We start from the raw sequence: 27,047 nt of genomic DNA, 5'->3' as shown, positions 1-27,047 counted from the left end.
TTTGAGAACTTTCCTCTTTCCTAATGTTGCATTCAATACTATACATTTTCCTCTAAGCACTGCTTTTCCTGCACCCCACACATTTTGATAAATTGTAGTTTTACTTTTATTAGTTAAAAATATTTAAACATTTATCTTGATACTTCTCTGATCTATTTTTTATTTGAAAGTATGCTATTTAATCTCCAAGTATTTTCTAAATTTAATTTTGTTGTGATCTGGGGGCACAGTTTAATTTCTGTTTTTTGAATTTTGTTACTGTGTGTTTTATGGTCCCATCCATGGTCTATCTTAGTAAATGTTTTATGTGACAGTGAAGAGAATGTGTACTCTGAAGTAATCAGTAAATATCAATTAAGTCTTTTTAGCAGATTGATGGCGTTTTTCACTTCAGCTATGTCCTTGCTGATTTTCTGCCAGTTGGATCTGTGAATTACTGATAGAGGGAGGTGTATAGTCTCCATCTCTAATAATGGCTTTATTTCCCCTTGCATTATTAGTCATGTCTGATGAATTTTGTTGTTCTTTTGTAGGGTGCTTACTTCTTAAGGATTATTATGTTTTCTTGGAGAAATGACCCCTTTATCATTACATAATGTCTTCCTTATTCCTGATAATTTTCTTTGTTCTCTCTGAGATTAATATACCTATTATAACTTTCTTTTGATTAGTGTTGGCATGATATACACTTATCCATCCCTTTACTTTTGATCTACCTGTGACTTTATACTTAAAAGTGAGTTTCTTATAGACAACATATAGTCAGGTCTTATTTTTTATCCACTGTGTCACTCTTTGTTTTCTAATTAGTATATTTAGACTATTTACATTGCAAATAATTATTGATATGGTAGAATTAATATCTGTGATATTTGCATCAGTTTTCTATTTTTTGCAGTTATATTTTATTCTTCATCTTCCTCTCTATTCTTGCCTTCTCTGATTTTCATTAAACATTTTATATTCTATTTTTTCTCCTGTCTTAACCAAAAAACTTATTGGAAAAAATTTTCAGTGGTTGCCCTAAAGTTTGGGATATACATTAGTAGCTAATTTAAATTCACTTTTAAATAACGGTATGCTGCTTAACAGATAGTTCATGTACTTTATAACAGAGTATTTTGAACATCTCCCTTCCACCTCTTATAACATTGCTGTCCTTCTTTTCACTTATCCATATACTATAATCACCCATATGTTGTTTCGTTTCTGTTATCACTTTGAACAGTTATATATTAAATCAGTTAAGAATAAAAACGATTTCATTTTACCCTTGTTTCTTTCTTTTTTTTTATGGTTGTTGTTTTTGTTTCCTGAGTTTTTGACCTATATAATTTTCCTTCTCGCTGAAGAATTTCTTTCAGCATTTCTTGCCAGGCAGGTCTCCTGGCAATACATTCCCTCAGTTTTATTTGCCTTAGAAAGTTTTTATTTTTATTTTTTTGGGGGGGGGGGATAATTTTGTTGTATATAAAATTTTAGTTTGTTGGGTGTTTTTCTTTTAATACTTTTAAATATTTCATACAGTTGTCTTTTGGCTTGCTTGTTTTTTGACAAGCTTCTTTCAAAATACTCTCTTTCTCTTTGGTTTTTTGCAGTTATGATATGCATATATATATATATATATATATATATATATATATGGTTTTTATCCTCTCTGGTGTTCTCTGAGCTTCCTTGACTTTTGATTTGTTATTTGTTGCTAGATTTGGGAAATTCTCAGCCATTTCTTCCTTTCTTTGCTCTTTTTCTGGCATTCTCATTACATGTTGGTTACACCTTTTGTAATGGTATCACAGTTCTTGGACATTGTTTCATTTCTTTTATTCTCTTTTCTCTGCATTGTAGTTTGCGATGCATCTATTGATATATCTTCAAGCTCACTGACTTTTTCTGTGGTCATGCCAGGGGAACTCATTTCTGTCAGTGTTTTCATTTCTATCATTTTCTTTTGGTTCTTTTTCCCACCTCTTTTCTTGCATTACGCATATCTTCTTGTATGTTGTCTACTTTTTCCATTAAGTTTCCTAAAATATTAATCATAATTATTTTAACTTCCCTATCTGATAATTTAAAAATCTGTTATATGTGAATCTGTTTCTAATGCTCACTTTGTTTTTTTAGATGGTGCTTTTTCTTGTTTTTCTTTTGTCATGACCTTGTCATTTTTTTTGTTGAAAGCTGGACTTGACTTGTCAAGTAATAGGAACTGAGATAGTAAGCTTTTAGTGTGAGGTTTTATGTTAATCTGACAATGAGCTGGGTTTTGTTTAGTATTTGCTATAGCTGTAAGTGCCACAGGTTTTAGTTTTCCATAGTTGACTTGTGATGTTGTTTCTTCACTCTCTTGTCTAGGATACCTTGAGAACTATTTCCTAAATAGAGTCTGTGGCTTACTGCTCTCTCAGTTGTAATCCACTCTTACTATATGGAAGCCCTGTTGATGAATGTTGGTAAGGTCCTATTTTTAAAATGAGGCTGAATTTCTGGCCTGTGGCCAGAATTGTTTCTTAGCAGTTTTTTTTCTTTCTCTTTCAAAGGAGACAGGACAGATAGATGCGGCCAGAGTTGAGTGTCTGCTTTTCCCCTAGGTCAGAGAAGACTTTGTCGAAGCATTTTCCCTGAGAAGGCAAGTTTTTGTTAGGGAGACCAGAACACCCTTGGTGTATTTCAAAACTGTTACTGCAACAGGAGGGGGTTTTCTCTGATGTTCACCGTAAAGACTGTCTTGGAGCTCTTGAAGGTAAAATTCTTAAAAGTGTGGGGACTCCTCTAAGTTGGGGCTCCTGGGACTTTTTTTAACTCCCAAGCTAGTGCATATTCATTCTGCAGGAATTCACTGAAGTTACCATTTTGATTTTCCTGGCGGTTTCTCCTTCAGATAAGCCAATCTCAACCGCCATTCTCTATATTCACCTGTCTCTCCAGAAAAAAAATAAAAAAGAATAATTTTAATGTGGTTGTTTGCCCTGTGACCTAAATTCTCACATGGACCTAAGAAAAGTCATCGGTTTTCCATTTCCTCAGCATTTTTCTTGTTGTGAGGACTAGTGGTAAACCCAATTTCTTTATATTTTGTAGCTGAAACCACCCAGCTTTCTTTTCATTAGTGTTTGCATGATAAAACTGTCCGTCCTTTTAACCAATCTGTCTTCATACTTATATTTCACATAAAAAACATATTATTGAGTCTTACAACAATTTTATCTAGTGTGAAAATCTCTATTAATTAGAATATTCAGACCATTTCACTTAATGTAATTATTCATCTAATTAGATTACAGTCTTTTAATTTTATTTCATTTGTATTTCTATAAATTTAGGGGGTGTGAGTGCGGTTTGGATCCGTGGATATATTGTGTGGTGGCGAAATCTGGGTTTTTAGTGTAATCATCACCCAAATAGAGTACATTATACCCACCACGTAATTTCTCATCCCTCACCCCCCTCCTGCCCTTCCAAGTCTGTGATATCTTTTATTCCACTCTCTATGTCCATGTGTACACATTATTTAACTCCCATTTATAAGTGAGGATATACAGTATTTGACTTTCTGTTTCTGAGCTATTTCACTTAAGATAATGGCCTCTTGTTTCATACACATTGCTAGAAAAGACATGATTTTGTTCTTGTTTTATTTTACTTTTTATTTTTGAAGACAGAGTCTTGCTGTAGACAAGAATGCAATGGCATAATCATAGCTGATTGCAGCCTCAAGTTCTAGGCTCAGGGGTTTTCCCATCTCAGCCTCCCACGTAGCCAGGACTATAGGTAATGCGCGACCACGCTTAGCTAATTTTTAATTTTTAATTTTTTTCTAGAGACTGAGTGTCATTATGTTGCCCAGGATGGTCACGAACTCCTTGCCTCAGGCAAATCCTTCCACCTCAGCCTTTCAAAGTGTTGGGATTACAGGCATGAGTCACCGTACCCGGCCCTGATTTTGTTCTTTTTTATGACTGAGTAGTATTCCATGGTATATATGCCACATTTTTAATCCAGTCTTCCAATGATGGACATGTATGTTGTTTCCACATCTTTACTATTGTGAATAGTTCCGTGATAAACATATAATTGGAGGTATCTTTTTTATATAATTGTTTCTTTTCCTCTGGATAGATACCAAGTAGTGGGATTGCTAGATCGAATGATAGTTCTATTTTCAGTTCTTTGAGAAATCTCTATACTGTTTTTCATATAAGTTGTATTAATTTACATTCCCACCAACAGCGTATGTGTTTCCTTCTCTTTGCATCCTCACCAACATCTTCTATTTTTAGACTTTTTAGTAATAGTCATTTGGACTGTTGTAAGATGATACTTCATTGTGGTTTTAATTTGCATTTCCCTGATTAGAGATGTTGTGATCATTTTTTCTTATGCTTTTTGGCCATTTGTATGTCTTCTTTTGAAAAATATCTGTTCATGTCCTTTGCTGAGTTAAGCCCTTTTAATGTTTTGGTTTTTATTTGTCACATTTGTTCTTGGATCCTTTCCCCCGTCTTTTCTTGCCTTATTTGGGTTGAATTTGGTATTTTTAAAGCATTCTTTTAAATCTTTATCTTATTTGTTTATACCTGTTTGATTTTTTAAAAAATAATTTCTCTAGATTTTGTAATAAGCACCTGTATCTTATCTCTCTCTATTTGTAGACAGTATTATATCACTTCCCATATAATGTAAGAGGTTGACAATAATATACTTCCATTTCCTCATTTGGTCTTTGTTCTATTGTTTTCATAGATTTTATTTCCCCATGTTTTTAACCCTGCAATATATTTTTATTATTTTGACTTTAAACAATTTTTAAAACAATTTTTAAATGAATAAAAGGCTTATTTACCCACATCTTTATCACTTCTGATGTTCTTCATTTCTTTACATAGATGGAAGTTTTTATTTGGTATAGTTTTTGTTTAGTCTGATTTACATTTCATGTAGTTTCTGTTTGCTCTCAGTGAATTTTTTCAGCTCTTGTTTGTGTCAGCCAACATCTTCATTTTACCTTATTGAGTGTTATTTTCATAGATATAGAATGCTAGTGACTTTTAGCACTTTAAAACTCTTTTTAGATTAGATTCTGTTTAACATTTTGACAAGTAATCTCATCATCCTTGTGTTCATTTCTCTATGGGTCTTTTTCACTCTGTTTGCAACATTTTTGCTATATCACTAGCTTAGGGTAATTTGATTTTGATGTGCTATGTGTTTTTTTTTTTCTTTCTTTCTTTTTTTTTTTTTTGAGATGGAGTCTTGCTATGTCACCCAGGCTGGAGTGCAATGGCACGATCTCGGCTCCCTGCAACCTCTGCCTCTCGGGTTCAAGCGATTCTCTTGCCTCATCCTCCCGAGTAGCTGGGACTACAGGTGACCACCACCACACCTGGCTAATTTTTGTATTTTTAGTGGAGACGGGGTTTCACCATGTTGGCCAGGCTGGCCTTGAACTCCTGATGTTGTGATCCACCCACCTCGGCCTCCCAAAGTGCTGGGATTACAGGTGTGAGCCACCGTGCCCAGCCTGATGTGCTGTGTGTTTTTCTTGTGTTTATCCTGCTCAGGGTTCGTTGGGTTTCTTGGATCAGAAGGATTACAGTCTTTATCAATTTATGACAGTTTTCAGCCATTATATCTTCAAGTATTTTTCTTGTATTTCAATAGCATGTTAGACCACTTTTTCCAACTGGTCATTGAGGCTATGTTCAAAATAAATATAAGCAATCTGTTTTGGAGAGTACAGTAACGTGTTTTTTGATACTTTGTAGAATTCTGCTGATAGAGATGAAGATCCTATTTGTCATTGACATTGGCAGCTTTTATCACATTCTGTAATAATAATCATTTTCCCTTTCCATTTTTTAGTATCTTTACCAGTTTTCATCTCCTTTGTTCCTGATGTTTTGGGTTCACATTAAATCTTTGCTGCTTGATTTATTCCTTGCTTAGACTTATCTGTGCTGCTTTAAACGAACCAAGGATTGAATGGTTTTCTGTGCTCAGATCTAACATATTTGTGAAAGAGACCCTCCTGCCTTTTAAAAAGCATATCTTTGTGGCATTGTGAAAAGTTCCCAGCTGGGAATCTTGGATTCTAGTCTGCTTTTGACAGCAATTACAGGACCTAAGATCTCTGAGGTGTAGTTTACTAAACCATTGGTTCCTGAATCTGGCCATGTACCTAAAGATAACGTTCTGAATTCCCATTCCTCAAGTGTCTGATATCATAGATGTAGTATGGGATTTGGGAAGCTATCTGTATAAAAAGTCACCTAAATGGAGCCTGTTTCACTGTTGAGAGTTGGTTGGTCACTACTTCTTCATGGTTTAACCAAATGTCAATCAGGAAATACAGAATGTAGAGGCATCAGGATGTGTGAATGTTCGTATCTTGAGTTTAGTTTGGGAACAAAGAGCCTAAAATGTGTTCCCAAATGTGACTGGTCAGTCAAGAAGTGGCACTAAATACAAACCTAGCCACTTTTCTCCTTTAAATTAGAATAAAAATACCTAGCTCATTGGATTGTTACAAAGATTAAATGAAATGCTGAATATAAAATACTGACAGTAATAACAGCACTTAACATCTTGCTTCCTGTTTTTATTTTTATAAACTCAGTTACCAATCTAGCAACTTGCTTTTCATAGAGTAATTGGCAAAGTAAGTAAGAGAGAAAGCTGAAACTTAAACACAAAACCAAAAAATGAGGTATGTTACGTACCTGCTAGGGCATGTAACAAACTAAGATCAGTGCTGTGGAGCACATGTCTACACCACCTTGGGAGCAAAGGAACTTCCAGCAGGACTCACAGGACAAGTATGAAGCACTAGTTAATCTCTGAGATTCATTTAAGATATAAAATATTTTTCTAAATGAGTCATTTTCTACAGTCTTGGCCTATTGATATGGTTTAGGTACATGCAAGCTAAGCTCCTTAATTGTCTGTTATCTACAAGAATGCTTCTCTTTTTGCCCAGCAATATAGAGTATCAGCATTTCTATCAGTCATCAACAAGCTTGATAGTGAACTGTCAGCTGCTCAGCTCAGGGGTAGAAGAGCTGAGTAGTTATGAAAGAGGCAGCCAAGGGACACACTGCTGAGTCCATCCACTAGATCAGCCAGTCCTGACATGTATGCCATAACAGCCATAACATATTAACTCCACAGTCAGTGAAGAAAAACGCATCATATGTAAGTGTGACAAGTATTGGTTTAAATATGTATAAATCAAAGCCATATATTTTGTTTTTCATCAAGAATAAATAAAAGAAACAATCCTAACAAGAAATTTTACATTTAAAACGATGTTAAAAATGCTTTCCTACTGAAATTTAGTGCTAAGAAAATGTTGCTGTCTTGGGAAGAACTAATATGGATACTCTTAATCAAATGATGAGAAAGATATGATTTTTAACCTACTTATATTTTATTTCTAAAGTATTTTGAATGTAAATAGACTATAAATTGCAATTTTAGAAGTATTTTGGAAATAAATGGAGTAGAAAAGATAAATTTTAAAATGTTCTGAAATTACACAAAATAGTAACATGAGGTCATAGTATATTTTCTTTGTAATACATGGTGATAAGCACTTAAGTTTTGATATTTAGTTTACAGTTGACCCTGAAAAAACTTGTGGAACCAAATACTCAAGAAAAAAGAATATACCCTTTAGCACTGCTGACTCAACTGCTGTGCTGAGAATCCTTCTATTATTTGAACATTTTTCCCCTGAAATATACCACTTTATAATATCAGCCATTCAGTTTTGAAGAACTATAAGATTGTTTTCAACAGTGCAAAAGCCCTTAAGCTTTGGAAGCCAGGAAATTAAAACATCAGGCTCTTTTATGAGAAAACCAAGTAAATTTGAGAACATAGTGAGGAAACAGTGTCAAGCTATGTAATATTCTTGAATGTAGAAGAACTGGAAGGTTGCACATGTATCCCCTGAACGTAAAATAAAAGTTGGAAAGAAATAAAATTAAATAAACTAAAAAAAAAAGAAAAAAGAAAAAACTGAAAGTAACAAGAGAAAACTAATTAAAGGCTAAATTTCTTACAGAATTTTTCGTTATAAAAGCCTGGACAGATAATGTTCTCTGGAAGTGTAGACGCTTAGAATTGTGAAAGAGTGGCATGTTTTACCAGAAGTGTACATGCTTAGAATTGTGAAAGAGTGGCATGTTTTACCGGAAGTGTACACGCTTAGAATTGTGAAAGAATGGCATGTTTTAATTAGGGGAATGCTTATGGTGTGCTGTAATGGTATTACTTGCATTGGTCCTGTTAGTTCATTCAGTAACACACTTTGTGTTACACAGATGCACACACACACACAGCTCCTAAAGTTGTGGTTTCATGGGATAATTGCATGCCTGACAGAATCTGAGGTACTTTTCTGTATTTTATGCCTTGAAGCTACCTAAGGATGAGATCTTTGTACAATTATTCCACCTCATCAAAATCTGTTCAAAACTGTGTTTTCTAGAGTAATTTGTTATCTTCTATTGTGTTTATAAGAGTACTGTATATGAAACTTTCTTTAATCTTTTGTCACTTTTTCTCTATTCCTAGGGAAAGTTATAAGAAAAGAAATTATATGACAGATGGGCATTTTTCTTCTGCATAAGCATTTACTAAGCGTATTGCTCAAAACACATCTGCATTTGAGGGCAAATTATTTGCCGTGTGTCCTGCAAATAATTCTCCCAGTTGCTTTGAACACTGTGTTTGCAAAACTTCGTATATTTTGTATTCATATAAATTAATTTAAAGGTCAGAATGTTGTGAAGTAATTTTGTGTGATTAATTTATTTAGGGGAAAGCTAAATGCCTTGCTAGCTTTTTGGTTACAGAATGGAAAAGGTGGTAGAAATTATTGAGAGGGAGACACAGGAAAATGATGTTGAAAAGTGTGTTTTCAGCTAATATAGAAACATAAAACAATACACATAGTATATAAAATATTAATTTGTAGGTTTTCCTAGAAATTAGTAAAAATTGTATTTTGTGGCAGTTGTTAAGAAATGCATAGTAATTATGAGCAGAGATTTAGAACCCAGCGCTTTTTCCTTCATGCCAGAAACCAGTGGATTTGATGATGTCTATACTTGTCTTATCTTTCTTTTTCCTTTTCTGGAGACAGGATCTTGCTGTGTGGTTCAGGCAGAGGTGCAGTGGCATGATCATAGCTCACTGCAACGTCAATATCCTAGGCTCAAGCGATCTTCCCACCTCAGCCTCCTGAGTTGCTGGGACTACAGACATGGGCCACTACTCTTGGCTATTTTTTTTTTTTTAATTGTTTGCAGAGTCAAATTCTCCCTGTGTTTCCCAGGCCAGTCTCAAACTCCTGGGGTCAAGTGATCCTCCCACCTCGGCCTCCTAAAGTGCTGTGATTGCAGGCGTGAACCACCGTGCCTGGCCAATTTTTATGTTTCTGTTGGTGCCACTGAGTGAATGGAGGTGAGGGCATTCAGGTGGAGGAAGCTGGACATGCTTGTCTGGAACTCAGAAGGTGATTGAATTAGAAATGAGGATTTGGAGGTCATTAGTGTATAAAATGGTAGGTGACTGTGAGGAAATCAGTCTGACAAAATGAGTTCTGTAGGGGACAGAGACAGACATTGGGAACACCAAGTGTCAAGGGTGTCGAGTGAAAAGAGCCTGGTTAGGAGTGATTAGAAAAGTAGCAGGAGAATTAGGAGGTGGTGATATATAAAGACCAAGGGAAGGGAACATATTTCAAGAAGCATGGCACAGCCTCCTTGAGTCAAATGTTGTCACCTGTCCCAGGTGGTCTGGAGGGTCTAGCTGAGTCTGGAAGTTGGATATCTGAGGTGTGTGCCAGTTGGCAGACCTCTGTGGTTTTCTCTTTGAGGTCGAACACACTGGGTGTAGAAGTGGAGAAGACAAATGGGTAGGTTGTACTGGATTAATGGAAGATCAAGAAGGTAAGATATTGGTCCTGATAGAGTGAGTCGAGTGACAGACTATGGGGTCTAGACTTTTTTCTGCTGTACCAAGATTTCTGATGGAAAATGAGCCAGCAGAAACGAAAACTGTTAAAGTAGATTTTACATGTCAAAATGCCAGTTGATTTAGGATGCAACTCCAGGCTCTGTCCATTCCAAGACACATAAATTTGTCTCTGCTTTCCCCTGAAAGAGTTGAAATCATAAAGCGGCAATTGTTTCCTGAGGGGTAAATGGCCATTATGCACTGGCTTCGACTAGGATTTTCTTACCTCTAGCTTGGACCATACAGTTGAATTCCCTGAATCCTAGTGATACTTAACATATTGCACGAGGCCTTGTATTTTGAGGTAATTTAAAACGTTATTAATCCAGGCCCCATTGAGTAAGGACTTGAGCTATTCCAGACACAAGCCTTATTAAAACTCACAGTAACAGTCTCTGAAAAAAGTTCCACTAAGCAAACTAATAGTGCAAACAAGATTTTAGCAAGAATGTTTGAACTACTTACAACAGGACTTTGTTTATAAGCACCCTTAAGTACTTCTTAAGTACTTGAGAAGCTCTGACTTACCTATAAACTGTCTATATACTCATTGCAAATCACCCTTATCTGGTTATTAAATCTGTGGATTGATACTGTGTAAGATTTTATTAGTTTAATTCCAGTTGCTGTATTTTATAGATTTCAGCCGCTAATGTCAAACATTCGCTCAAATAATTTTCTAACGAGCATTATTAAATCCAAACATCAGAAACCCACTGAAAGCTTTCTTAAAATTAGGGTCTGTCTTTGTACTCCTTGCTCCTGTATCCCACAATCCTTATTTTGATCACTTCTGCTGTCTCCTCACACAATTTTGGGAAATGTCATTGGATGAAGTGTTCAGGATTTCTTTCCTGTTTCCAGAAGTCTCAAGTTGTGGTATCACCCGCTAAGTTCAGTGATAGTTCAGAAGGCTTCTGTCAGTAAGAATATTGAGCCAAGCCCAGGGGATGTGTCTTTGTATCAAGCTCCCCTGTGTTAAGCAACTATGAGCTGTCAGACTTCCCTGGTATAATATCTGGTATCATCTGGAAGGACTTAAGAGGAGAAATACCTTTAATGTTTTTAAAATTAGTTAATATCATAGTAAATTACTGAGTTGTAAAATTCAAAAAATGGCTACATTTTACTCTCAAATTTTGAGTTGTTTTGAAATATTAATAGTAATAGGTAGCTATTTCATGGTGAGGGATAATAAATAGCGGCGTCTTGATGGCCTCCATAGGTCATGATCTCCACAAAGCACTATATCCAGAAAAAGTCCTTTAAAGACTATGCTGCTTTAAATCTGTATCACTCCTTTTAGGCTGTAGGCGTTGTATGACCAATAAGTACTTTCAAATTGTCAGTCTAATGGAAGGGCTTGCCCTAGAGCCATTTGGCAATGAACATACTCTAAAAGCTTGAATAAATAATTTTAAATGTAGAGATATATGTCCAGATGACTTATTTCATTGATCTCTGACTATTTTGTATATTTCAAAGAGAAGAAGAGCCTTGTCACAAGCTGAATCATAGCCATGGAAGAGTTTAACTCTGTGGCATATAGTTCAGGATGCTATGTGAACATGATATCAATCTTAATTTAATGTGTGGTAGATGTCTAATGCCAGAATGTAATTACCTACATTGGATCTTTACCAGAAATTTAGTGCAAAATAGCTGTCTTGGGCAAAGACAGCATTGGAAAAGGGACATAATAAACAGGAGTTTGGTGCAGTAGTAACTTAATGGCCCTGACCCTAGCTCAGGGCAGTTGTTTCCTTGACCTTTGAAAGGTGTCAGTTTATTTCTGAGACGATTTTATCCTTCCTTATTGCACAGCAAGTTGTTTCAAAACACAAGAATTTGCTACTCCAAATTTAACTGTTTTGTACTCCAATTTAACTGCTTTGAGATTGTAAGGCAAATACTTTATGATTAAGGAAATTGGTAGGTCCTGTGCAGCTCTTCAGTCGTAGCAAGTCTTACTCTAGGTAATCCCTTTGGAATTTGATGCTGGTGCTGCCACTTGGACATTTCTGCTTTAATTTTTGTCACAGATTCTTTTGGGGAGTGGGTGGGATATAAATGACAAGTGCTTGCTAAATTTATGGTTTAATGGGCAGATTGTTTACACTAGTCATTTCGCTTGGCAGTGCTTTGATTTGTTGGAATTTTAAGTAAATTATTTTACTTATGGTTTCCTAATTTGCAAAATTGAAATACGTGGTCTCTCCTTACCTCAAAGAGATACAAAGAATATTAATAAGGTAACATTCCCAACCTCAGTGGGATTCTGATGCCACATAAATATATGGTATCATCATCCTCCTGCTCGTTATCATCCATTAGCAACATTGTCGTCAAGGTTTTCTCTGTATCTAGATTAATTATGACTAAGGAGTAAATTATTCCATATATGGAATCTGATTTTCACTCTGACACTCTTTTACAAGTATGTTAGCTTAGGTAACATATACTTTATTATCAGGTACTCTATTATAGAAGATGATCTTGTGGTAGCCAGTGTTCTATATGTTCAAACAGGGATTCTTCATGTTAAATGTATTTTTTTTTCTGACTTTTGGTAGTTGGAAAAAAGGTTTATAAAAGCTCAAATTTTCAAAATAACCTGTCCACAAGAACTTTTCCACACCCATGTAAGAGTGGTAGATATTTCTGGCATGATTTTAAAGTACATCTAATTTGTGAAGATAAGAATACTCTATTAAGTATGGGATTTTTTACAGGTGTAACACTTTGAAGGTACTAGAGATTTAACAGTAGATGTTGAATTTATTTCTAGGGGTAGTATTTGTGATTTCTGTTACAGTGTCTTTAAAAAGTTGTCTCATGCATGGATTTTCAGCTCAGAAGTCTATCATGCTTATCTCTGATGTGGTTTGAAATTATTATGAAATGGAGCTGTATGGCCTAGAACCTTCTTCAATATTTAAGTTCTTGAAATTAGCACAGGGTAGGATTTCATAGAAGCATATTTTCAGTTTAAGGAATAAATAGTGACATTGAAAGAACTCCTCAACTTCAGATTAATTCCTTTTCATTAGATTAATATTTGACATTAGTTCCTAAAAGATCCTCAACAGTAAAGGTAAGAAAGGATTATGAAAAACAGAAGTTGACACATTTTTTGACAGTATGTTTACATTTATAATTCAGTCTCTAACTATATCCCTCATTCATCCTGCCTTATCTCTGTAGTGTTTGCCACCACCTGATACATAACTTTTGTTGATTATTTCCTTCCAATAGGATAAAGGAGCCCTGAGGGCAGAGACACTGTCTTTCGCCACTACCGTCTGACATGCGGTAGGCACGCAACAATGTTTGTTAAATGAATAAATGAATGAATAAGTTCTTGGTCTTAGAAGATGGTGGAACAAAGGAAATGTGATTCCAGAACTTTATATAAATCCAATTTTCCCTTCAAGACCATTTTAAAACAAACTTTTAAAAACGAATATTAAACAATTGTGATTATTCAGCACCTATGCACTTCTACTTGGAAACCATCTGAGAGTATAATTCAGCCAGCAAATTGATGAAGCAAAATAAAATTGGAATAGTAAAGCCACAGTAAAAGGAATTGGTGGCAAATAGTGAATGTATTTAAATATAAAACTGAGACTGCTACATTTAGGTCTTAGATCCATTTGAGTTAAGTTTTATATATGCTATGAAGTAAGGGCAAACTTCATTCTTTTACATGTAGCTCTCCAGTTGTCCGTGCACCATTTGTTGAAAAGACTACTCTTTCCCACTGAATGGTCCTAGCAACTCTTGTCGAAATCAGTCGATCCTAGACACATGGGTTTTTTTCTGGACTCATGTTTCTAGTCCATTGATTTGTGCATCTATTCTTATGCCAGTACAGCACTTTCTTTATTACTGTTGCTTGTATTATAAGTTTGGAATTTAGGAAGTGTGAGTCCTCCAACTTTGTTCTTTTTCTGGTTATTCTGGATCCTTTGCTATTTCATATGGTTTTTAAAATCAGTGCATCAGTTTCAAAAACCTAATGTAAGAGCTAAAAGCATAAAACTCTTAAAAGAAAAAAATTAGAAACCTTTGTGTTTCAAAAGATACCATGAAGAAAGAGAATGGCAACCCACAGAATGAGAGAAACTATTTGCAAATCATGTATCTGATAAGGGATAGAGATTTAGAATATCTAAAAACTCTTACAACTCAGTAATAAAAAGACAACCCAATTAAAAAGTGGGCAAAGGAACTGAGTAAACATTTCTCCAAAAAAGATTTACAAATGACCAATAAGCATGTGAAAAGATGCTTGACATCATTAGTCATTAGGGAAATGCAAATCAAAACCATAATGAAATACCAGTCCATATCTATTATGATGAGTGGAATCAAAAGTCAGATCATAACAGGTGTTGGTGAAGAAATTAGAGAATTGGAAATCTCGTACACTACTGATGAAAATGTAAATTAGTGTAGCCACTTCTGCAAACAGTCTGTAGTTCTTCACATTGTTAACCGTAGAACTACCACTTGATGATCTAGCAATTCTACTCTACCCAAGAGAAATGAAAGCATAGGTCCACACAAAAACTTAAACAAGAATGTTTATAGCAGTGCTACTCATAGCAGCTAAAATATAGAAACAATCCGAATGTCCATCGGCTGGTTAATGGATAAACAAATGTATTATACATTGGGTATACAAAGGAATAGTATTTCTTAGAAAGGAATGAAGGCTGGGCATGGTGGTGTATGCCTATAGTTCCAGTTACTTGGGAGGCTAAGGTGGGAGAACCACTTGAGCCCATGAGTTCCAGGCTGCAGTAAGCTATGATTGTGCCACTGCACTTCAACCTGAGCAAAAGAGCGAGACCCTGTCTCTCAAAGAACCACTAAAACAAAAAAAGAGACTTCATACACAAGTGAGATTGACAGTTTCTTTTTAAGGTAATAAAGTAGTGATACATGCTCCAATATAGATGAACCTTAAAAATATTATGCTAATCGAAAGAGGTAGCTTACAAAAGACCACATTTACATGAAATGTCCAAAATAGGTAATAGAGACATAAAATAGTTGAGTGGGTTTTAGGGATTGGGGAGGGTTGAAGGGACAGGGGTTGGGGAGGTGACTGCTAATGAATACATAGTTTCTTTTGGAATGATTAAAATGCTCTGAAATGGACTATGGTGATAGTTGTAGAAACCAGTTAATATAGTAAATACTGTCCGGGAGTGGTGGCTCACGCCTGTAATCCCAGCATTTTGGGAGGCCAAGGCGGGTGGATCACAAGGTCAGGAGATGGAGACCATCCTGGCTAACACGGTGAAACCCCATCTCTACCAAAAATACAAAAAATTAGCCGGGCATGGTGGCGGGCGCCTGTAGTCCCAGCTACTTGGGGAGGCTGAGGCAGGAGAATGGCGTGAACCTGGGAAGTGGAGCTTGCAGTGAGCTGAGATCATGCCACTGCACTCCAGCCTGGGCGACAGAATGAGACTCCATCTCAAAAAAAAAAAAAAAAAGATATAGATATATATATATATAAAAAATATATATATATAATATATATATATAAAATATATATATAATATATATATAATATACATATTATATATTATATATAATAATATATAATATGTATATAATATATATATTATATATATCGTTATGTCTCAATAAAACTGGTATTTTTGAAAAGTAAGACCAAACAGCTGTGTGAACTATGGCAACAGATAAGAATGTCAGTGTTAACTATGTTTTTAAGAAAGGGGAGTAATATCATCTAGCAAAATTGGGAGAGGAGATTTCCTTATCTTTCACAGCATATTACCCTTGTCCTAATTCCTGTCATTCATTTTTGTTTGTTTTTAAAATTTATGTTCTCATTTTATTTTTTTTTATGTTTCTGATGTCTCTAATGGATCTAATTTTTTTAAAACTATATTCTACCTCCAGTTGAGTCCAACTATATTTTGTTGGTTGTTCCTCATTAGAATATTTGAACTTGTAAATTCCAAGACTGTAGCAAAATCTTCATGCCACTGTATCCTTGCCAAGGATCAAAGGAAATCTTGTGCAAACTTTTAAGCTAGTCTGCCATCTTCTACCTGAAATTCTAGGTTTTGTAGAAATAACTTATATTTTAAATACTAGATCAGCTTGTTTTTACATCTTTTAATATCTTTCTGAACAATTGCAGTTAATTCATTATCTGCAGTTTTTTTTTTTTTTTTTTTTGAGACAGAGTCTCGCTCTGTCACCAGGCTGTAGTACAGTGGTGCAGTCTCGGCTCACTGCAGCCTCCAACTCCCTGGTTCAAGCGATTCTCCTGCCTCAGCCTCCCAAGTAGCTGGAATTACAGGCATGCACCACCACGCCCTGCTAATTTTTGTATTTTTAGTAGAGACGGGGTTTCACCATGTTGGCCAGGCTGGTCTCGATTTCCTGACCTCATGATATGGCCGCCTTGGCCTCCCAAAGTGCTGGGATTACAGGCGTGAGCCACCGCACCTGGCCTATTATCTGCATTATTTAAAATGGTTTGGGATAATTAGAATTATTATCTTTATTACTTATTGCTTGTTGCATGTCTTATCTATTTGTACTTTTTTGGCTGAAGTATTTCCCAAGTAATATCTTGCATTGGTTGTATAATTTCTGAGTCTTTTTGTTTTAAAAAAAACAGTTTTCCTTTATTTTTATGCTTAATACAGCTGTCCCTTGGCATCCATGGGGGATTGCTTCCAGGAGCCTTCTTGGATACCAAAATCCATGGATGCCCAAGTTGCTTATGTAAAATGATGTGATATTTGCAAACAGCATATATACATCCTGCTGTATTTTTCAAATCGTCTTAGATAACTTATAATACCTAATACATTATAAATGCTATGTAAATAATTGGTACACTGTAGTTTTAAAAAGTAATACTTTTTATTCTTGTATGTTATTAAAATTTTTTTCTGAATATTTTGAATTGTGGTTGATTGAATCTGCAGCTGCTGAACCTATGGATACGAAGGGCTGACTGTTAATATTTTGTTTCCATTCTGGGGTTATAATCCTTTTCCTCAGATTTGTGTAATTATTGCTCTATACTTTTTAGCATTTAGAATTGCCTTCCCTGTCCCTTTCTTCCTCTTCTTTTCTTCCCTCCTTTTCCTTCCTTTCCTTATTTCTTACTAGGGAGCTCATAGTGACTTTCTTTTTATTATTTTATTTAGAAACTCTACCAGGAGTTTGTGCGTAGATGATCTGTCAATATTCTTATCTGGTATTTCATGGGCTGTTTATCCTCTTGGAAGTTTTTCGTTAGGTTGATGATTCTTTCTCTTTCATTCAATTGTTTTCACAGCTATGATAACTCCTGGATATGACATTTATGTTTCTCATTTGTTCTTTCATTATTTTTCCTTTACATTCTGGAAGGTCACTTTCAGATCATTTTCTAAATCAAGATTTGATCTTCCCCGATGTTTATTTGTTTGCCTAAGGTCTCCAGTGAGTAGCTTCCCTAAGTAACTGGTTTTTCATTTCCTGGAGCTCTTTCTTGGTACTCATTTGCTCTTCCTTCTTCATAGGCTTCTTGTACTGCCTCTGAGAGGCAGTATCTTTGCATTTCCCAGAAGATACAGAGGAAAGGCCGTTTCCCCTGCCTACTCAGCTTGGCTCCTATCCCATTTTTGGTCTTCTTCCAGTGTTCATTGACCCTTCATAGCCTGCTTGTTTTTATAGAGAGGTATAAACTGATCAATGTGGGTAGTTGGCAGGTGCCCCTCGATGCACTTGTGGAAGTCTCTGTTTGCTGTCTCCCAGGGGTCTCTGCTCACCAAATTGGCCAGTGGAGATGAACCTCACTAGGGTCCACAGGCCAAAAGTTGGCCTTCCCTTCCAGGTGTATTTCCTGGGAACAGACAAGAATCATGATCCCTTTAGGAAGCCACCACAGGGGTTGAGGAGGAGTTTTCTGCACACTGATGATTTCTGTCCAAAGCAGAGGTCTTAGAGATGTGATGTGAAGTCCTCACATCTTTTTTTTTTTTTTTTTTTTGAGACAGAGTCTCACTCTGTCTCCCAGGCTGGAGTGCAGTGGCGCGATCTCAGCTCACTACAGCCTCCGCCTCCCAGGTTCAAACAAATCTCCTGCCTCAGCCTCCTGAGTAGCTGGGACTACAGGCGTGTGCCACCACGCCTGGCTAATTTTTGTATTTTTAGTAGAGATGGTGTTTCACCATGTTGGCCAGGATGGTTTCCGTCTCCTGACCTCGTGATTTGCCCACCTTGGCCTCCCAAAGTGCTGTGATTACAGGCATGAGCCACCGTGCCCAGCCAGTCTTCACTTTCTCAAGAAAACCATCAATAACTGAGACCTATTCCTTCCTCAGGTCTTAAGAAGCAGTTATCAGAACCAACTTTGCTATCTGCCAGCACCTTCCCTCTTTACCCCATCCCTTCCTCTGCCTGGCTGTCAGAGCACATTGAGTAGAAGGAGGGGGCTGAGAATCATCAGCCCACTAGGAAATACCATGGCCGTTCCCTCCTCTCACCAAGCTAAGTGAGGTGGGCATCAGAAGACTTACTTGGAAAATTCGATGGTGCTTTAAAAACAAAAAAAAAGACTAGGGTCTTACTCCTTAGTTGGAAATCTGTTTAGGTAGTATGGAAAACACTGTTGGTTGTCTGTCAATTTCTGTTTTTCTCTTCTGAGTAGTGGAATTCTCAATTTTTGTCTGAGTACATGTCCTCAGACATGAAGAACTACATTTTTTAGCTCCCCTTATACCTAGGTGTGGTCATGTGACCCCCTTCTAAGAAATCACTTTTAGGTAGAAATGATGTGTGCAGCTTCCTAGAAGAATCCATAAAGTAGAAGGGAAATAATCCTCTTGATGGGAAGGTGCATGTGATGGCAGGAATTCTGCCAACCATTTTGTACCAAGAGTTGGAAGCCATATGATGCAGAGAGTGGAGAAATATATAGAAAAAAATAACGTCCCTAGTAATTGTTAGGATACTACGCTAGCCCTTCCTGTCTACCAGCAGACTTATGTAAGTGAAAGAGAAATAAACCTTCATCTTATTTAAACTTCTCTAGCTTTTCTATCACTGTTACATGAGCTTAGTTCTAATAGAGGTAGTCTACTAAAGCAGGGAAGAAGAGAATGGGAAGAGAAATGGCAGGGCAGAGAGAAAGGACAGCAGTGGAATAGCCACCCCCTGTCTCTTAAAAAGGTACACTACCCAGAAGATGCACTCCCAGTGAGGAAACCCCAGCAGCTGGACACTGTAAGCTGTGGTGTTGTTGGCTGTGCTTGAAGCAGTTGTTGGGGGCAGGGAGTGTGTGAGAAGAGGCTGTCCCTTGGTACCATAGTTATAGAAGAATGAGAAAGAGGAAGGAGGAAGGAAGAGGAAGGAGGAAGAAGAGGAAGGAGGAAGGAGGAGGAAGGAGAAGGAGAAGGAAGAAGGAGAAGAAGAAAAGAAGGAAAGAAAGAAAAGAAAAGAAGAGGCTATCCCAAAGCCATGTTTCTCCCTCCCTCAGGGAACTGTGCAGTGGTATAGCCTTCCCCTCCACCCCCAGGCTTTTGCAGATCCAACTTCAGCAAAGCATGCTTGAGTTAGCATGTGTCTATTTGCCACCTAGCGACCCAGCTGGGCATTGTTAAACAAAGAAGTAGAGATCACCAAAAAGAAGGAAATGTAACCTCAGGCAGTTAAGCAGGACCAGAAAGAGGGAGGTGTTCCCAGAACCAGGTTCAGCTTCTCTTCCCAGTCAGTGGAGAGCCTGGCCCTTCCCAAGCCACGTGCCCTGAGCCATAGGACTGGCTTGCATTAGAGTGGTGATGTCAGAAAGTAACCAGGAATGTCTTGGATCTGCCTGCATGTGGTTGAAGGTTCTTCTTAGGAGAAAGAGTATTTGACAGTGCAGCTGGGGGCAGTGGTGGAAGATTAAATGCTTCATGTGTTTATCTCCCTAAGTGCAGGATCTCTAGTAAACCTAACGCAGGTACCCATGGAAATGTTAGTGCGGATGGAGTTGATTTTGTTGTTGTTGATGTTCTCTCTGAGACAACACAGGGATGGAATACTGTGGACAGCCACTCTCTATTGGAGTTTTTGATAGAATCCCTAAGTGTGTTGGTTTGCTTCCCATCTTCTCCTTCTTCCTTACTCTTTTTGGTAGAGCCCGTGCACTGGTTAGGGCTGGGGTCACAGGCAGCCTGTGTCCAGTCAGAGCTGTAGCTAGCAGAGGAGTAGACCTGGAGGTGTGGTGCAAGACTGGTCTTCCCATTCCCTCTCTGTCACTGTGGTCCTCCCTTGTACCCCACTGTAAACGATCTGTGGCACAACACCTACCCTCCCAATTACATGGTGAGCCGTGTTCTCCAGGCATTGCCATGGTGGCCCCTCAGTTTCTGCTGCCCCATTTCTCCCTGGCTGTGGTGTACAGCCAGGTTGCTGCTTACGGCTTGCAGGTTTTTAGGGGTTTGTAAGGTGCCTTCGTATAAGGTTACTGCCTCTGTGTTGTGTTGATGCTAACTAAGCATGGATTATTTTTGTGTGATCCAATCATACATGCTTTATAGTGTTCAAAAAAGTTCTTTAGTTTTTCCTTTGTTGGGTGTTCCCTTTTCTGTTTCCTAGAGCTGCTATTGATATTTTTCTTAATTTTATATTGCTTTAGTGATTTCCATATGACTTTTTTAAGTAGGAGAAATAAATGTGAGTTATCAGTTTTTCTTCTTAAAAGTGGGACTATGTTGTGTCTTTGCAGGCCATGTATCCCCTGTGTGCCCTTCCTCCCAACCTATCCAGTGAAACTCAGCTTAATGCCACCTCCTTCTGGAGGCCCCAGGCTCCCAGAGCATATATACACATACTTGCTAAAGTCCTTTTTCTCTGCGTACCATATGCCCATACTTCTGATTGTGCAGTAAACAGATTTTAATGTTATTATTGCTTTGCATCTATGAGACCCAGATATATCATGGGTTCCTCAATGACAAAGTTTGCGCCTCATTTATCTTTCTGTTCCCAAACTCAGCACAGTGCCTGGCCTGAGTAAATGGTTCATAAATGTTTGCTGAAGGGTTATTTATGGCCTGCCTTCTTGATGCTTTGTGAAAATTAAAAGCTTGCAAATTATGGAATATAGCATATCATTTCCCTCATGGGAAAACTGAAATACTAAGAATTAGTTTCAGGAGTGATGTTAATATCACCTAAGAGTGTAGCCTTCTACTTTCACATACTAACTTTCTATCATGATTGTATATTTGTTTTGGTTGAGAGAATTGGAAAGGGGTTTGTGTCTGTGTGTTTTGTTGATAAAATATTCTAAATGTTTTTTAGCATAAAAAGAACAAGAAAATAAAGGAGACAATGTGACTTTATCTTGGGAGCCACATCTAAGTACAAATACAAGGAATAAGAAAATTATTCAGATTCTTAACTATTCTATGAACTTATAAAACCAGTTCTTAAATGCCTCCTTTGCAGGCTTCCTTGTAAGTCACTACACCAAAGCAGTTGCTGTAATGGAACATGTTAAAGGCTACTGTCTTCACTTCCTTCAAGCACTAGAAAAGTGTGGTGGGAGGTGTGGAGTGGGTGAGCAGAGGTGGGCAGAGCCCCATGGAGTGGGAGACCTCTCATCACCGTCCCGTGGCACTGGGAGAATATAGGAAATTTGCAGCTAGAGCTAGCTTTTTAGGCAAGAATCCACTCACATTCCATACGTGGCTGATGATAAGTCTTTGTCTGGATTTTTAAGTTTCTTTTGAACTTATATAAATCTTTACTTTTTCTGCCTTTTTTTTTTTTAGAGAAGGAGTCATTAAAGATTGAGGGCTGGAGAGTAAATGTTAGGATTAACTTAAAGCTCTGCAAACATTTATAAAATAGAGCTTTGTGAGGAATTGGAGAATGAGGAAATAATAATGAAGCACGGCCCTGAAGAGATAGAAACAGAGCTTCCGTCGCACTTTTTTGTTTCTTGCCTGAGGATCATCTTTTACTTTCCGTAGTAAGATTTTCTTTTTTCTTTTAGCAGCTGCCTTCGGCAGAGGTTTATTGAGCATCTAGCAGCTGCCAGGCCCTCTGCAGAGGTGTTGTCCATACACATGTGGAATAATCACAGACCTTGCTCTCAGGAGTCCACAAGTCAGAAGTGTAGGGTCTTCTATTGCAGCTGATAATGTAATGTTGAAAGTGATAGAGGAAAAGTTACCTAATTCAGGATTGAGGGATTAAAAAGAAGGATGAATTGGTCAGGAATTCCCCCACATGACTAAGGCAGCAATGAAACTAACAAAACCACGAGCCAGCATAGAAGCGAGAATACCCATACCCTCCGAGAAGGAAGAGAAGTTTGGTGGACTGGATATACAGTGCAGTGTGGGCTGGGCAAGGCTGGGGCAAGGGAGAGGAGATGGGACTGCATCCAGGTGACAGAGCACTGTGAGCGTTCCCGAGAGAATCTAGTATTTATTCTGTAGGAAAAGCAGCTGGACGATCTACTCACATCTGTGGTGCTGCATCATTTTCCCTTTAATAGTTCTTTCTTTTCATTCATAAACTATTTCAAATATAGTCCTATTGAAATGTCACTGTGCTTTTTGTGGGAAGTGCAGGGGATGTGTTGGTTGGGACAGAGCTGGTCATTGGAATACCAGAGGAAGCCTGTTCATCTCCTGTAGATCAACACACTCAGCAGGAAAGTAAAGAGCAGCTTCTCTTTGCCAGGCACTGGCCCTCAGTGTTTGGGACCTGTTGGGGAACAAGGTAAGCCCTGGTGGGGAGTACATTCATGACTGAAGACAGTAATACTGAGTAAATAAGCCAACAGGCCAGCAAGTTATATATTCTTTTAGAAGATGATGAATCCTGTAGGCCAAGGATTGGGAGTGCTAGGGCGGAGGCAGTGTGGGCATGGGTCACAGAGACCTCATGTGGAAGGCAACATTTGAGTGAAAAGCTGAGTAAAGTTGGGGGTGGTAGCCATGCAGATTTCTAGGGGAAACATTTTAGGCAGTAGGAACAGGTGCTGCAAAGCCCCTAGGTCGGGAACATGCCTGGTGTGTTGAGGAACAGCCTGGACGCTGATGTGGGTGAATAGGCAAGAGGATTGGCCTGGGAAAATGGCAGTGGAGCAGAGAAGACCTGAGGTTAGCCTGAAGAAGGGGAGGGAGGAGTGGATGATCACCAGCCTTGCTTCAGGTGAGGTGGTGGCCATGAACAGCGAAGGCCAGAGAGATCACCAGGTTAGTGAGGAGATTTTAGACAGGGTGAGATGGAGAGGCTCGCAGAGTGCCCAGTTAAGGGCCAATTCGTTGTGTAGTGTGAGTCTGGAGCTCAGCGGGGGTACTGGGCTAGAAATACCCCTTGGGGAATACTCAGAAACTCAGAATATATGCTCAGGTACAGCTGCCCTAACAAAGGCCCACACACTGTGTGGCTTAAACAAAAGGCATTTATTGTCTCACCATTCTGGAGGCTAATGTCCAAAACTAAGGTGTCAGCAGGGCTGTGCTCCCTTTGAAGCAGGTGGGGGACTCCTTCCATGCCTCTTCCTCGCATCTAGGGATTTGCAGCGATTTGGCCTTCCTTGCCGTGGAGCTGCGTAACTCCGATCTGTCCTCATCATCACACGACATCTCCCTGTGTCTTTGTGTCTGTGTCTTCTCTCCTCACAAGGACACCAGTCACGGTGGACTGTGTGCCAACCCTACCCCTGTATGACTTCATCTTATCAAATTACATCGGCAGGTACTCTAATTACAAATGAGATCACATTCTGAGTTGCCAGGGATTAGGACTTACACATGTCTTTTCTGGGGGGACACTGTTCAATCCCACACTAGGCAACATGAACGAAGCCCTGGATCCAGAAAAGCCAGTAAAGAAAACAGAGAAAGAACAACCATAGGGATCAGAGGAGAATTTGGGCAAAATGAAGTGATCAAAGTCCTGGGGAGAGAGAGAAGTCAACACTCAGGAAAGTCAGGAGCACATAGTCCTAGAAAGGGTATTGGACTTGGCAGTCAAGCCTATCATTGGCCACCCTCCTAAGAGCCTGGTCACAGGAGACCAGCGGTTACTGGTGGTAAAGAAGGGAAGCAGCCAAGCAGGCTGTTCTTTCTAAGGTGTTTGACAATGAAGTGAAGTGGGGTGGGTGACGATGTGGGGAGTAGGCCAGGTGCGGGAAAGGAGATGGAGCTTTTTAGGGGGGCCCTTGAGCACTTATATGAGACCAGAAGAAGAAGTTGAAAATGCCGGAGCTGTGGAAGAGCCTGGGAGTCGGGGCCTGGGAGAAGATTGGTCCTGGAAAGGAATAGGGACATCTCTCCCACTAAGAGGCAGAAAGAAGGGAAGACTGGTGGAGTTATCCAAGTACAGCATTTGAGAAAACTTACACTCCAGTGACTTGTCTGTTTTCTGGGTGAGGTAAGGGGATAGTCTGCTGGAGAATAAGAGGAATAGGAAGGGGTAGGAACATTGAGAGGAGGGGTAGAGAACCCAAAAGGGAGCTAATTAAAAATATGTGACATGACTGAACACTATACTGACTAATATTACAACATCCTTACTAATATTAACATCCACAAGTTGATAATGCCCACTTAACACCCATTTTTTGGCAGCCAGAGAGTTAGAGTAGAAGGAAAAACAAACAGTTGGCCGGGCACGGAGGCTTATGCCTGTAATCTCAGCACTTTGGGAGGCCAAGATGGAAGGATCACTTGAACCCAGGAGTTCGAGACCAACTTGGGCAGCAACATGGTGAAACCCTGCCTCTACCCCCCCAAAAAAAAAAAAAATTAGCTGGGTGTGCTGATCTGCGCCTGTAGTCCCAGCTACTCTGGAGGCTAAGGTGGGAGGATTGCTTTAGCCTGGGAGGCGGAGATTAGAATGAGCCGAGGTTGTGTCACTGCACTGGAGCCTAGGTGACAAGAGACCCTGTCTCAACAAAAAAAGAATAAAACAGAAACAATTGATAAGGGGTTGACATTTGTCAGGGGGTATGTTCCACTATGTATTAGTAAGAATACAGGTTAATTGACTGATCAACAGAGAACCAGCCAGATTACTGAAAGAAAGTGGAGACAACATCTGAGCAGAAGGTGAAGTCAATGGAGAATTTCCTTTACACCAGAATGTGGCTTTAAGAGGTCACAGTGGAAGGCCAAAGGGACAGGGACTTGTTAGGATGGGATGGTGGTGGTGGTGGCGCTGGCTAACATTTCTTTCTTTCTTTCTTTTTCTTTTGAGACAGTCTCGCTCTGTCTCCCAGGCTGGAGTGCAGTGGTGCCATCTCGGCTCACTGCAAACTCCGCCTCCCGGGTTCAAGCGATTCTCCTGCCTCAGTCTCCTGGGTAGCTGGGACTACAGGCACGTGCCACCATGCCTGGCTAATTTTTTATATTTTTAGTAGAGACGGGGTTTCACTGTATTAGCCAAGATGGTCTCGATCTCCTGACCTCATGATCCACCCGCCTTGGCCTCCCAAAGTGCTGGGATTACAGGCGTGAGCCATTGCGCCCAGCCTATGGCTAACATTTCTTAAGCACCTACGTGGAAAATCTTCACAGTTGCCTTGTAGGGTGAATAATATTTGTATCCATCTTCTACATATGAAGAAACCAAAGTACTAAAAGGTTCAGTACCATGTCCAAAATTGCACTCCTGCTAAAAAGTAGAGCTGGGCCTGGCCCCAAGGGCGTATCTTCAGCCCCTCACATTGGATGTGCTCCAGACCAGGGAAGGCAGGGCCAGGCTGGACAGGGGTCACAGAGAGCAGCTAGCCAGGAGTGTGATTGTGAATCTCCAGATGAGGGTCAGGCCGAGGGGTAGCATCAGAGAGGAGTGTTTGGAAGGGAGTGTACCAGTCTTGGTTTGTTGTGGCAGGGGACCCTAGGAGGAGTTAGTCATCTAGTGCCCACAGTGTTCTAGGTACTCAGAGCTTTTTTGCGTTTCAAAGATTAAACAAAGTCTTTTGGATTTTTCCTTACAAATCTGCAGAGTGAATTTTCTGCCTCTTGAATTTAAATGTGAAGTGTCACGCTGGGTGAAAATATGAACATGTGAACACAAAGCCTTTCTTAGCCTTTCTTCTTTGGGGATCTCAGGGTTACCCTCTCCCCTCAGAGCAAACTCTTTATCTCTCTCTCTTTTTTCCCTGACCTTGACCACATACCAGCCTAGCTGTTCTGATGTAGGAATTTGCACATGTAACCTTCTCTTCCATTAACAGCCTTTTTACCAACTCTCTGCTTCTCTTCCTCACACCAAGAGTATGCCCATTTCTTAGCTCTCGGATTCTAAAGTACTTAGCCCTATCTACTTCTTTTCTTGGCCTTAAATGTCTTGGAAAGTATTGCATTAACCACCAGATTGTAACTTGTAGGACTTTCCTAAATTCCCATACCCCCATGACCTTCCACTATGCCAGTTCTGTCATGTGGAATAAACTTGTGTCAACGTTCTCCGTTCCCATTGTCAGGATCATTACTGTAAGAAAAAATGAGCATGGGCTCATGCCCCCTGCAGCTCTGAGTCCTTGCTGACTCTTGGAAGTCCTCTGTAATCCAAGAGGGCCAGCCTTTCTGCTCTTACTGCTCACTGCTCCCGGCATAACTCTTGACAAGTGCAGCTTGCCCAGATCAACCTGGGGTTTTCTTAAGCTTTTTTTTTTTGGTTCTCACCTGTGTTTTTTTCCAAACCATTTATCTATATCCTATTCATCTCTCAAAGCTAGCTAACAAACATTCAAAATATTTCAAAATCCACTTCTCATTTTAAAATATTGATTTATTTTCTTTTGTTATTTTTTAAAAACACTGTTTTTAAATATTGTTTTTAAACATTGACAATACTTAAGCCTATCAGGCCCTGATTGCCTGTTTCTACAGTTCAAAATAATTCTTTCTTGTTAAATACACAGGACATGGCATTATTACAGATGGCATGCATGTTCCAAAATTCACATGGAGGGTTATTCTACCGGGAAGAACGTGCAGTTGGGGTGAGCTGGATAGGGA

General features: G+C 38.8%; 1 protein-coding gene across 12 annotated transcripts in view, besides 1 other annotated feature; it reads left to right on the top strand.

Annotated features, from left to right (window-relative positions):
• Nucleotides 1-27,047, top strand: part of GMDS (GDP-mannose 4,6-dehydratase) — a 621,800-nt gene that overhangs the window by 230,037 nt on the left and 364,716 nt on the right. The gene's annotated exons all lie outside the window — the stretch shown is intronic.
• Nucleotides 15,727-15,927: a silencer, noted in NCBI's record as "peak5622 fragment used in MPRA reporter construct". NCBI's record gives its function as "represses an SCP1 promoter by STARR-seq MPRAs in K562 erythroleukemia cells {active_cell/tissue: K562}" and the evidence as "EXISTENCE:reporter gene assay evidence [ECO:0000049][PMID:32103011]".

This window comes from Homo sapiens, chromosome 6, assembly GCF_000001405.40.
Source record: "Homo sapiens chromosome 6, GRCh38.p14 Primary Assembly".
NCBI lineage: Eukaryota > Metazoa > Chordata > Mammalia > Primates > Hominidae > Homo > Homo sapiens.
The sequence above is the reverse complement of the archived record's forward strand: the minus strand, read 5'-3'. Positions and strand labels throughout refer to the sequence as shown.